The 11,617-nt window shown below is 55.8% G+C and overlaps 1 protein-coding gene across 2 annotated transcripts, besides 6 other annotated features; it reads left to right on the top strand.

Annotated features, from left to right (window-relative positions):
- Positions 359-858: a silencer, noted in NCBI's record as "silent region_12820". NCBI's record gives its function as "represses an Ori minimal core promoter by ATAC-STARR-seq in GM12878 lymphoblastoid cells {active_cell/tissue: GM12878}" and the evidence as "EXISTENCE:reporter gene assay evidence [ECO:0000049][PMID:35858748]".
- Positions 698-11,606, top strand: E2F1 (E2F transcription factor 1). 2 transcript variants are annotated; one of them, NM_005225.3, is made up of 7 exons: positions 698-1,079; positions 6,667-6,757; positions 7,109-7,328; positions 8,730-8,882; positions 9,543-9,657; positions 9,753-9,978; positions 10,104-11,606. In NM_005225.3, exons 1-7 carry the CDS (start codon positions 819-821, stop codon positions 10,349-10,351), a joined length of 1,314 nt encoding a protein of 437 aa, NP_005216.1. In that variant the 5' UTR covers positions 698-818; the 3' UTR covers positions 10,352-11,606. The 2 variants fall into 2 exon arrangements, with proteins under 2 accessions (NP_005216.1, XP_047295917.1); XM_047439961.1 differs by lacking the exons at positions 9,753-9,978; positions 10,104-11,606 and having other exon boundaries at positions 9,542-9,656.
- Positions 969-1,328: a silencer, noted in NCBI's record as "silent region_12819". NCBI's record gives its function as "represses an Ori minimal core promoter by ATAC-STARR-seq in GM12878 lymphoblastoid cells {active_cell/tissue: GM12878}" and the evidence as "EXISTENCE:reporter gene assay evidence [ECO:0000049][PMID:35858748]".
- Positions 6,330-6,948: an enhancer, noted in NCBI's record as "H3K27ac-H3K4me1 hESC enhancer chr20:32267941-32268559 (GRCh37/hg19 assembly coordinates)". NCBI's record gives its function as "activates a minimal SCP1, AML or CMV promoter by ChIP-STARR-seq in primed H9 embryonic stem cells {active_cell/tissue: H9 hESC(primed)}" and the evidence as "EXISTENCE:reporter gene assay evidence [ECO:0000049][PMID:30033119]".
- Positions 6,880-7,259: an enhancer, noted in NCBI's record as "active region_17740". NCBI's record gives its function as "activates an Ori minimal core promoter by ATAC-STARR-seq in GM12878 lymphoblastoid cells {active_cell/tissue: GM12878}" and the evidence as "EXISTENCE:reporter gene assay evidence [ECO:0000049][PMID:35858748]".
- Positions 6,880-7,568: a biological region, named in NCBI's record as "H3K27ac-H3K4me1 hESC enhancer GRCh37_chr20:32267321-32267940".
- Positions 6,949-7,568: an enhancer, noted in NCBI's record as "H3K27ac-H3K4me1 hESC enhancer chr20:32267321-32267940 (GRCh37/hg19 assembly coordinates)". NCBI's record gives its function as "activates a minimal SCP1, AML or CMV promoter by ChIP-STARR-seq in primed H9 embryonic stem cells {active_cell/tissue: H9 hESC(primed)}" and the evidence as "EXISTENCE:reporter gene assay evidence [ECO:0000049][PMID:30033119]".

The following is an 11,617-nucleotide window of genomic DNA, read 5'->3' as shown; positions in this document are numbered from 1 at the left end:
AAGCTCTCCAAACGTTTGTTGAATGAGTGAGGGAATGAATGAGTTCAAGCAGATGCTATACGTTGGCTGTTGGAGATTTTGGCTAAAATGGGACTTGCAGGAAAGCCCGACGTCCCCCTCGCCATTTCCAGGCACCGCTCTTCAGCTTGGGCTCTGGGTGAGCGGGATAGGGCTGGGTGCAGGATTAGGATAATGTCATGGGTGAGGCAAGTTGAGGATGGAAGAGGTGGCTGATGGCTGGGCTGTGGAACTGATGATCCTGAAAAGAAGAGGGGACAGTCTCTGGAAATCTAAGCTGAGGCTGTTGGGGGCTACAGGTTGAGGGTCACGTGCAGAAGAGAGGCTCTGTTCTGAACCTGCACTATAGAAAGGTCAGTGGGATGCGGGAGCGTCGGGGCGGGGCGGGGCCTATGTTCCGGTGTCCCCACGCCTCCAGCAGGGGACGCCCGGGCTGGGGGCGGGGAGTCACACCGCGCCTGGTACCATCCGGACAAAGCCTGCGCGCGCCCCGCCCCGCCATTGGCCGTACCGCCCCGCGCCGCCGCCCCATCCCGCCCCTCGCCGCCGGGTCCGGCGCGTTAAAGCCAATAGGAACCGCCGCCGTTGTTCCCGTCACGGCCGGGGCAGCCAATTGTGGCGGCGCTCGGCGGCTCGTGGCTCTTTCGCGGCAAAAAGGATTTGGCGCGTAAAAGTGGCCGGGACTTTGCAGGCAGCGGCGGCCGGGGGCGGAGCGGGATCGAGCCCTCGCCGAGGCCTGCCGCCATGGGCCCGCGCCGCCGCCGCCGCCTGTCACCCGGGCCGCGCGGGCCGTGAGCGTCATGGCCTTGGCCGGGGCCCCTGCGGGCGGCCCATGCGCGCCGGCGCTGGAGGCCCTGCTCGGGGCCGGCGCGCTGCGGCTGCTCGACTCCTCGCAGATCGTCATCATCTCCGCCGCGCAGGACGCCAGCGCCCCGCCGGCTCCCACCGGCCCCGCGGCGCCCGCCGCCGGCCCCTGCGACCCTGACCTGCTGCTCTTCGCCACACCGCAGGCGCCCCGGCCCACACCCAGTGCGCCGCGGCCCGCGCTCGGCCGCCCGCCGGTACGGACCCCAGGGACGCCGCGCCGACAGCGCCGCCTGTGCCCCCCGCGCAGACCCGGGAGGGCGCCGTGTTTGGCCTGGAGGCGGCAGGGGGCGGGGGAGGGGTTGACTGAGGCGCCCAGGCTGGGCGGTGCAGAGCCGGGGTTGGGCCTCCGGGCCCCGCCCTGGGGTGCGGGGTGACCTCGGGCCGGTCCCTGTTTGCTGCTCTGTGCTCTGCGCCTCAGCTTCCTCACCGGAGCCTCCCCAGCGTCGGACTCAGTGATAATAATAGCCCACGTGTATTCAACTGGCGTTTACTGCATGCCAGGCCTTTGGGCGACTTCAAGCCAGCTAAAACTCACAACCCCGCTGTGAGCTGTGTTGTCACTGTGCCCATCTGACGGAGGAGGAACTGAGGCCCAGAGAGGGAAAGTGACTTGCCCCTGGTCACACGGCTGCAGGTGGTGGGGCTGGGATTTGAACTGAGGCCTGCTGGCTTCAGCTCAGAATTTGCATCTCGGTAGTGAGCACAGCTGCTAGGGGAAGTGAAGGCGGGGCGGAGGAAAGTCCTGGGGCCTAACCGTTGGTGAGCCATTGAGGAGACCCTCCTTCCTGCCTCGATGCTGACTGCCAGGTGCAGGCCTGGCCGGCCAGGCCTCTGGGGACAGCCCTCCTGGCTGGGAGGCCTTCTCTGCAGGGGCGGGGCAGCTGGACCAGCTGCTGATCCCCTCCCTCTGCCTGTCCTTCCATCTGCCACCCTCCACCCTCCCAGGCCCTGGTTGCCATGGAACCTCATTAATCAGGCAGGCCGACCCCTGAGTCTCTGTAGAAGGACTAGGTGGGCTGGGCCTCTGGGAGCTGGAGAGGAGGCCCCCAGTGCCAGGAGAGAAAATGTCTCAGGGAGATCCTTTAATAAAGCCCTCCCTGATCGCTGAGCTCAAGACGAATTCAGACTGGAGGGCCCAGAAGAGGCGGCTGAATTCCAGTGGGAGAAGGGATTGGAGGCGTAGAAGCCTGGAGCTGGGAACTGTGGGGCACAGGGCAGGGTGTGGAGACCAGTTTGACTGGCGCAGCCTATGGGTGAAGGTGGGGCTCTGGTGTGCAGGCGGGGTCTGGCCAGGCAGGATGGGGTCTCAGCAGGGAACTTGGAGCAAGTGGGAGGGGTGAGGCAGGACTCAGGACAAGGAGGTAGAAGCTGCCTAACTGCTGATGGGGGTGTGGGTGGCAGCTGGTCCCTGAGGCATCCTGAGGAGGCTCCCCCAACCCCCTTGGCCCCATGCCCAGTGCTGCCTTCCGGAATCACCACAATGCTAATAATAATAACAATAGCAGCCACCATTGTTTTGAGGATGTCTTGTGTGCCAGGCTCTGTGCCAAGCGCTTTACTTAATTAACTCATTTAACCCCATCAGCAGCAGTCCCTTTTTACAGATTGGGAAGCTGAGGCCTAGAGATGTTAGAATCTTCCCATGTCATTCTGCTCTTGAGTGGGGAGAGCAGTCTGCGTTTCCTCTGAGGTTGACCTCTGGGATGCCTTGCTTTCTGGGGATGCTGATACAGGTTGAAGAAAGGGCAAGAAGGGCTTTTAGGGGCCCTCCCTCTTAATGAGTGGGTGGGAGGGGGTTGTACCAGGGGTGGGCCAGGTGGCCTGTCTCCTGTACTCCAGGGGCCTGTTCCTGTGGGTACCACTTGGGACCTGGGCAAGCATCTTCCATTCAGCTGTGTGACAAGCATTATAGAAGGCTCAGGTCTGCGGAAATCTAACAACCTGAGGGTCTTGTCCTCAAAGATCTGAACAGGATTATGGGTTCTAGGATCAAAGGGAGGGACAGGGGCAAAGAAAAATGCCCTCCACTCCACCTGTCAGGGGCAGGCTCATTGGCCTGGGCATTCCATTCATTCAACAGTTGTTGAGTTAGTGAATGCCCAGGAGGCACTAGGCCCAGAGACAAGGAGCCCTGGCCCCCAGTGTACTTAAGGGCCAGGAGGCTGGCACCATTCTGGAACTGAAGTCCAGAAAGTCCACAGGTTTGGCTTTTGGCCTCTCTGCACTGGCATTTGTCTGGCACAGTCCTTGAAATAAGCTACAGGCTTAGCTTCTATACCAGCAGGCATTCTGTATACAAGGCTCTGCAATTCAGCCATTCCTCTTGGCCCTGCCTGTCCACTTCCACAAACTCAAGTATTATAACTATAATACATGTTTAATGTAGAAAACTTAACTTTTTTATTTATTTATTTATTTTTTTTTTGGAGACAGGGTCTCATTCTGTTACCCAGGCTGGAGTGCAGTGGCGTGATTGCGGCTCACTGCAACCTCTGCCTCCCAAGTTCAAGCTATTCTGTGCCTCAGCCTCCCGAGTAGCTGGGATTACAGGCGTGTACCACCATGCCCAGCCAATTTTTGTATTTTTAGTAGAGAGAGGGTCTTGCCATGTTGCCCAGGCTGGTCTTGAACTCCTGAGTTCAGACAATCTGACTGTCTCAGCCTCTCAAAGTGCTGGGATTACAGGTGTGAGTCACCATGCCCAGCTGAAAACTTAACTCTTAACTCTTTTTTTTTTTTTTTTTTTTGAGATGAAGTCTCGCTCTGTCACCTAGGTTGGAGTACAGTGGCGCCATCTCGGCTCACCGCAACCTCTACCTCCTGGGTTCAAGCGATTCTTCTGCCTCAGCCTCCCGAGTAGCTGGGACTACAGACGTGCACCACCATACCCGGCTAATTTTTGTATTTTTGGTAGAGATGAGGTTTCACCATATTGGTCAGGCTGGTCTTGAACTCCTGACCTCAAGTGATCTGCCCGCCTCGGCCTCCCAAAGTGCCAGGATTACAGGCGTGAGCCACTGCGCCTGGCCAAAAACTTAACTCTTAAGAAACTAGAAAGTTGACGGCAGGATCCCAGCCCTATTCATTTTTTTCCTTTTTTTCCCTAAGGCTATTTTTGTTTGTGGTGGTTGTGACAGTTTTTGTTTTTTAAAGTTTTAAAAATTGTAGTTTTTCCTGTATCATTCACACCATTCAGATATGGCACTGGTCTCCCACAGTCCTTCCAGAGGCTGCCCCGAAATGTATTCTATAATAATATAAACTGAACCAGAGAAAAGTTTCATGAGCTTTTTAATCCAAAAGGGATCATATAAATATATCGCCCTGTGACAGTGTTTTGCTTGTCTGTATGTGTGAGGGGATTCTTGTCAACCTGCCTCGGTCCTTGACAGCTGCGTGGTGTTCAAGGGGCTAAACAAAGCACAGCTTTCGTGACCCCCTTCATGGATGGGTGTTCGAGTCATCCAGATTTTTTCAGCAGTGAATGTCTTCACCCCTGCGTTTCGGGGCCCCTCTGCCAGTGTTTATCTAGGGAGAAGTGGCAGAAATGGCATCCACTCAAGCCTTTGTTTTAGGGCGTGGCACTGACCTGCCTTCAGGGGTGGACAAGGGTGGGGATCCCAGGGAGAAGGCAAGGGGTGCAGATGGCAGAAGCATGCTAGGGTTTGGGCCCCAGGGGCGAGTATGGAGGGGGATACATTCTGGCTGGGTTCTGGGGAGGTGGGGCACGTGGCGGGTATGAGTGTGGGCTCTGTACCAGCCAACTAGGGTGCAAGTCCTGGGTCCACCTCTCACTGTGTGGCCTCTCTCAGGTGGAGGCCATCATAGCACCTGCCAAAAGGTGGCCGGAGGGTTGCAGGGGAAGCAGTTGAGTACACAGTGCTTAGAGCACAACAGCTCTTCTTTCCCCTGGGTGCCTTCAAAAGTCAGTGAATGTGCACAAGAGGGAGTGGTTCATCAGCATGGGGGGGGTTCATTCAGCAAACATTTGTTGATGCCAGGCTCCATGGCAGACACTATAGATTCTCAAGTGATTCAGACACCTCTGAGGGTGAGATAGATACATCTGCAGAAATGTGTAGGGAGAGACAGAATGTGGCAAAAGGTTGGGTTTGAGGCAGTTCAGAGGGAGAAGAGGTGACACCTCCTAGCTGATGCGTAAGGTTTCTGCCCACAGAGGTAGAGGGAGCAGGCGTGAAGTGGGGAGGGTGGGAGGGATGCAAGGGCAGTCTAGATTTCTGGGAAAACGTGACTCGGGTTCCTCTAGAGAAGCAGTGGCAGATGAGAGTACAAAGGCAATGGGGAGCTGGAGGAAGGCCTTAAGCAGGGGCGGCGGCATGGTAAGGTTTGTAGGAGGACTGGCTGCAGCAGAGGCAGGGAGACCAGTGTGGAGTCTGCTCAGCAGCCCACTGGGAAGGTGGTGATCGCCGTGGTGATGAGCAGTTCTTGGTAGCTGCATGTGAGGAGGGTGACAGGTCAGGAACTCTAGCTCAGGAAACCCTGTGGATGGTGGAGGGGAAGATCAGTCTGGTTTTGGTCCGGGTACTTTTGAGCAGCCTGTGAGACCTCCAGGACAGTCCCAATCCTGGAGTGTCTGAACTAAGCCAGAGTGCTTAGAGCTTGGGTTCTTCCTCAGACCGTCTTGGGTACAAATCCTGACTCTACCACTTCCTGGGCCTCCCTGGGCTTTAGTTGCCTTATCTGGAAAATGGGGCCATTTTTATACAGCCAGTCCGTTGAATGGAATGAACTAATGGATGCAAGGAACTTGATGAGCACCAGCTGCTACCATGCGTATAGATTAGTCAAAAACCAGAGAGAAGGTGATTTAGCCAAGGGACCTATGTAATCAGTGGCTTAGCTGGGCATGGTGGCTGACTAGTCCCAGCACGACTACAGTGAAGGCTGAGATGGGAGAATTGCTTGAGCCTAGGAGTTTGAGACCAGTCTGGGCAACATAGGGAGACCCCATCTCTACGAGAAATAGAAAAGTTAGCTGGTCTTGGAGGGATGCGCCTGTGGTCCCAGCTGTTTGGAAGGCTGAGGTGGGAGGATTGCTTGAGCCCAGGAAGTCTAGGCTGCAGAGAGTTGTGATCATACCACTGCACTCCAGCATAGTCAACAGAGCGATACCCTGTCTAAAAAAGAAAAAAAAATAGTGCCTTAAAACAACAAACATTTATTATATAGTTTTTGTGGGTCAGGAATTCAGGGAAGACTTATCCAGCTCTGGCTTGGGGTCTCTGGAGATTCAGCCAGTGTTTGGGTTCTGGCTGCTAACAGAAGTTGTGACTAAGTGTTGCTGTTGGGAGGAGGCCATGGTTTCTTGCCCATCATTAGGGCTACTTGAGTGCCCATATGATATGGCAGAGTAAGTGACCCAATACAGAGCAAGGAGGAAGCTCCAGCGCCTCTGACCCAGTCTCAAAAGTGACAGGCCATCCCTTCCACCACATTCCATTCATTCATCCCCAGAAGCAAGTTACCAGGTCTGGCTCATAAGGGGAGAATTAGGCTATATCTTTTGAAGGAGAAGGATCAGAAAGTTTGCGGATGTGTTTTAAATCCACCGCTAGACCCCAGAGAAGTGGTGAAAATGGAATGTCCTGTGTGGTAGGACTGTGACTCTCAGGCTATGTCCCCTCTGATCTCCCTCAGTCACACACTCAGGCATCCTGCTAGAGAAACTGAGGCGAGGGTAGCCCAGAGGCACCCAGCCTTAAGCCAGGTCTCTTCTGGCCTCACTCCTGGTTACTGGGCATCCTCCCGTTTTCGCCACAGGTGAAGCGGAGGCTGGACCTGGAAACTGACCATCAGTACCTGGCCGAGAGCAGTGGGCCAGCTCGGGGCAGAGGCCGCCATCCAGGAAAAGGTACCTATGGAGCTTGGGCTGGGCAGACCCCCTGTGACCAGGCCCAGGTTAGGGATGTGAACAGACAAACATGCTTGCAAGCTAACGTCTGGCTTGTCGGGCTTGAGCCAGGCCTCTGAGGACCCTGATGGGCAGTTGGAGTGGCCACCTGGCTTGGTTTCTCCAGGCCCTGAGGGGTGAGGAGTTCCCCAGCCAGAAGAAGAATGCTGTGGTTGGCCTCGCCAAGGGGAAGGAGCTGGCTGTCCCCCAGCCCCCATCATCCTGCTGCCCTGCACTGCCAGAGTGGCAGGCCTGGCTGGAGGTGGGGGTGGATGCTGAAGGGCCCTGTCTTGCCTGACCACACCCCCACAGGTGTGAAATCCCCGGGGGAGAAGTCACGCTATGAGACCTCACTGAATCTGACCACCAAGCGCTTCCTGGAGCTGCTGAGCCACTCGGCTGACGGTGTCGTCGACCTGAACTGGGCTGCCGAGGTGCTGAAGGTGCAGAAGCGGCGCATCTATGACATCACCAACGTCCTTGAGGGCATCCAGCTCATTGCCAAGAAGTCCAAGAACCACATCCAGTGGCTGTAGGTACCGGCCACACAGGAGGGCAGGCACACCTGCCCATGCCAGCCTGGAGGAGCTGGTAGTAATACCCACTGTGGCTGCCTGCATCCCCATCTTATAGCTGGGGAAACGGGCTCAGAGAGGAGAGGTAGCTTCCCTGAGATGATAGATGGTAAAAAGCACACAAATCTTACATATCCACCTCAGTTGCAGCTTTACTTTTTTCTTTTTTAGATGGAGTTTCACTCTGTCACCCAGGCTGGAGTGCAGTGGTGTAATCTCAGCTCACTGTAACCTCTACCTCCCAGGTTCAGGTGCTTCTCCTGCCTCAGCCTCCTGAATAGCTGGGGATACAGGCGCCTGCCACCATGCCCAGCTACTTTTTGTATTTGTAGTAGAAATGGGGTTTCACCATGTTGGCCAGTCTGGTCTCGAACTCCTGATCTCAGGTGATCTGCCTGCCTCAGCCTCCCAAAGTGCTGGGATTACAGGCATGAGCCACTGCGCCCCGCGCAGCTTTATATATTTATTCATCTGGGTTGCCACCATTCAGATCAAGATAAGAGCATTTTCAACACCCTAGAAGGTTCTCTTGTGCCCCTTTCCAGTCATTGCCAACCCCTCACACCGCCAGGTCACCACTATCCTGGCTTCTCATGCCCTCGGTGAGATCTGTCTGGCATAGATATTTTATTCTTGTTTTATTTTCCCCCTCTCGCCTTCGCGCCAGTCATCATGCTACTACCCTTTCTTTGATACACCTGCCGTTTCATTTTTTGGTAGATCGTTCCATTCTGCATCTTTTGTGGTTTTTTGGGTGGAGGGGGGTGGTTTGAGACAGGGTGTTGCTCTGTCGCCCAGGCTGGAGTATGGAGGCACAAATACAGCTCACTGCAGCCTCAACCTCCTGGGCTCAAGCTCCGTACCTGTAGCTAGGACTACAAGTACATGCCACCATGTCTGGCTAATGTCTTTGATTTTGTGTAGAGGCAGAGTCTCACTGTGTTGCCCAGGCTGGTCTCAAACTCCTGAGGCTCAAGCAATCCTCTGGCCTCAGCCCCCCAAAGTGCTGGGATTATAGGTATAAGCCACCAAGCCCAGCCTTTTTTTTTTTTTCATTTGACAGCATGTCTTGGAAATGCATGTGTGTGTGCATGTGTAATATTTCGTGGCATGTCAGTCCCATCATTTGTTTATCCCGCCCTGGTTGAGGGACATGTAGGTGTTTATATTCGGGCCAGACTTCAAGCCCATGACACTCTGATTTGGAGCCCAGCTGAGGAGCCAGACCCAGACAGAAGCAAGGGCTTGCCTAGGCCTCACAGAACAGAGGCAACAGCAGACTCTGTCCTGAGGCCCAGGGCTCCTGGCCAGAGGGGCCAATCGCTGTTAACCCTACCCTCCCTGGTGCCTCCCCACAGGGGCAGCCACACCACAGTGGGCGTCGGCGGACGGCTTGAGGGGTTGACCCAGGACCTCCGACAGCTGCAGGAGAGCGAGCAGCAGCTGGACCACCTGATGAATATCTGTACTACGCAGCTGCGCCTGCTCTCCGAGGACACTGACAGCCAGCGATATCCTTGGATTGGCCGTAGGGTGTGGAAGGCAGGCTTAGCAGGCAGGGGCTCCACCCAAGTGGGACTAGAGAGGCTTGGATTTAAGAGAGAGCTCTGATTTTGGTTGCAAGTCCTGGCTCAGCATTTTCTCACTGTTGTGACACTGGATAAATTGCTTAACCTCTTGGCCTCAGTTTTATCTATAAAAGGGGAATAATAATATCCAATTCTGAAATTGTACAGATTAAAAAAGAAAAGTGGCTAGGTGCGGTGGTTCATGCCTGTAATCCTAGTGCTTCAAGAGGCTGAGGTGGGAGGATCACTTGAGCCCAGGAGTTTGAGGCTGCAGTGAGCTCTGGTTGAGCCACATCACTCCAGCCTGGGTGACATAGCGAGACCCTGCCTCTAAAAAATAAATTCCCAGCACCAGGCCTGGAGTTGTGTTGAACATTTTACATGGAATCGTTCCCGGTAGCCATTATTACCTTGGGATTCAATGGGTAGAGTGATTTCATTATACAGATGTGGAACTTGAAACTCAGGCGTGAGGTAGGTTTTGAGTGGGTAGGAGGTTGGGAGGACAGGAGTGACTAGGCAGGTGTGAGCCCTGCCTTGTGAGCTGTTGGAGTGAGTGACCCCCTAGAAGTCAAAGGTCATGTGGTCCTTGACTCTGCCAACCCTGGCCTACGTGACGTGTCAGGACCTTCGTAGCATTGCAGACCCTGCAGAGCAGATGGTTATGGTGATCAAAGCCCCTCCTGAGACCCAGCTCCAAGCCGTGGACTCTTCGGAGGTGAGATCTGGGAACTCCGGGCCCAACTGGGCTGGGCTGGGCTGGGCTGGTGGTCACCTGGGCCTCAGTTTACCCTGCCTGCTGCTTCCACCCAGAACTTTCAGATCTCCCTTAAGAGCAAACAAGGCCCGATCGATGTTTTCCTGTGCCCTGAGGAGACCGTAGGTGGGATCAGCCCTGGGAAGACCCCATCCCAGGAGGTCACTTCTGAGGAGGAGAACAGGGCCACTGACTCTGCCACCATAGTGTCACCACCACCATCATCTCCCCCCTCATCCCTCACCACAGATCCCAGCCAGTCTCTACTCAGCCTGGAGCAAGGTGGGTGATGGGTAGGTGGGTGGGGTGGGGCAGGGCCCCTCTTCTGGGGGGTGGGCAGGCACGACAGCCCCTGCCTTCCTCCCTGCTGGGGCATCCCCGGCCTGTGATGCTCCCCGTCTCCCCAGAACCGCTGTTGTCCCGGATGGGCAGCCTGCGGGCTCCCGTGGACGAGGACCGCCTGTCCCCGCTGGTGGCGGCCGACTCGCTCCTGGAGCATGTGCGGGAGGACTTCTCCGGCCTCCTCCCTGAGGAGTTCATCAGCCTTTCCCCACCCCACGAGGCCCTCGACTACCACTTCGGCCTCGAGGAGGGCGAGGGCATCAGAGACCTCTTCGACTGTGACTTTGGGGACCTCACCCCCCTGGATTTCTGACAGGGCTTGGAGGGACCAGGGTTTCCAGAGATGCTCACCTTGTCTCTGCAGCCCTGGAGCCCCCTGTCCCTGGCCGTCCTCCCAGCCTGTTTGGAAACATTTAATTTATACCCCTCTCCTCTGTCTCCAGAAGCTTCTAGCTCTGGGGTCTGGCTACCGCTAGGAGGCTGAGCAAGCCAGGAAGGGAAGGAGTCTGTGTGGTGTGTATGTGCATGCAGCCTACACCCACACGTGTGTACCGGGGGTGAATGTGTGTGAGCATGTGTGTGTGCATGTACCGGGGAATGAAGGTGAACATACACCTCTGTGTGTGCACTGCAGACACGCCCCAGTGTGTCCACATGTGTGTGCATGAGTCCATGTGTGCGCGTGGGGGGGCTCTAACTGCACTTTCGGCCCTTTTGCTCTGGGGGTCCCACAAGGCCCAGGGCAGTGCCTGCTCCCAGAATCTGGTGCTCTGACCAGGCCAGGTGGGGAGGCTTTGGCTGGCTGGGCGTGTAGGACGGTGAGAGCACTTCTGTCTTAAAGGTTTTTTCTGATTGAAGCTTTAATGGAGCGTTATTTATTTATCGAGGCCTCTTTGGTGAGCCTGGGGAATCAGCAAAGGGGAGGAGGGGTGTGGGGTTGATACCCCAACTCCCTCTACCCTTGAGCAAGGGCAGGGGTCCCTGAGCTGTTCTTCTGCCCCATACTGAAGGAACTGAGGCCTGGGTGATTTATTTATTGGGAAAGTGAGGGAGGGAGACAGACTGACTGACAGCCATGGGTGGTCAGATGGTGGGGTGGGCCCTCTCCAGGGGGCCAGTTCAGGGCCCCAGCTGCCCCCCAGGATGGATATGAGATGGGAGAGGTGAGTGGGGGACCTTCACTGATGTGGGCAGGAGGGGTGGTGAAGGCCTCCCCCAGCCCAGACCCTGTGGTCCCTCCTGCAGTGTCTGAAGCGCCTGCCTCCCCACTGCTCTGCCCCACCCTCCAATCTGCACTTTGATTTGCTTCCTAACAGCTCTGTTCCCTCCTGCTTTGGTTTTAATAAATATTTTGATGACGTTTGGGCCGGGTTTTGGGACTCTGTTGGGAACATTTCGGGGCGGGAGAGGCCAAGGTTGCTGGGGAAATGCCCATTCTCCACTTCCCTTCTCCCTGTCCGTGCCCGATTTGATTTGAGCCTCATAACTCGAAGAAAGGTCAGCTTCCTCGCTGTTTTGGTCCTAACTCAAAAGCAGATCCAGTAAAGGTTTTTGTTGTAGAAAGCCAAGAATGCTATTC

The sequence above is a fragment of the Homo sapiens genome, chromosome 20 (genome assembly GCF_000001405.40).
Source record: "Homo sapiens chromosome 20, GRCh38.p14 Primary Assembly".
In the NCBI taxonomy this organism is placed as follows: domain Eukaryota; kingdom Metazoa; phylum Chordata; class Mammalia; order Primates; family Hominidae; genus Homo; species Homo sapiens.
This window is presented reverse-complemented; position numbering and strand designations above follow the sequence as displayed.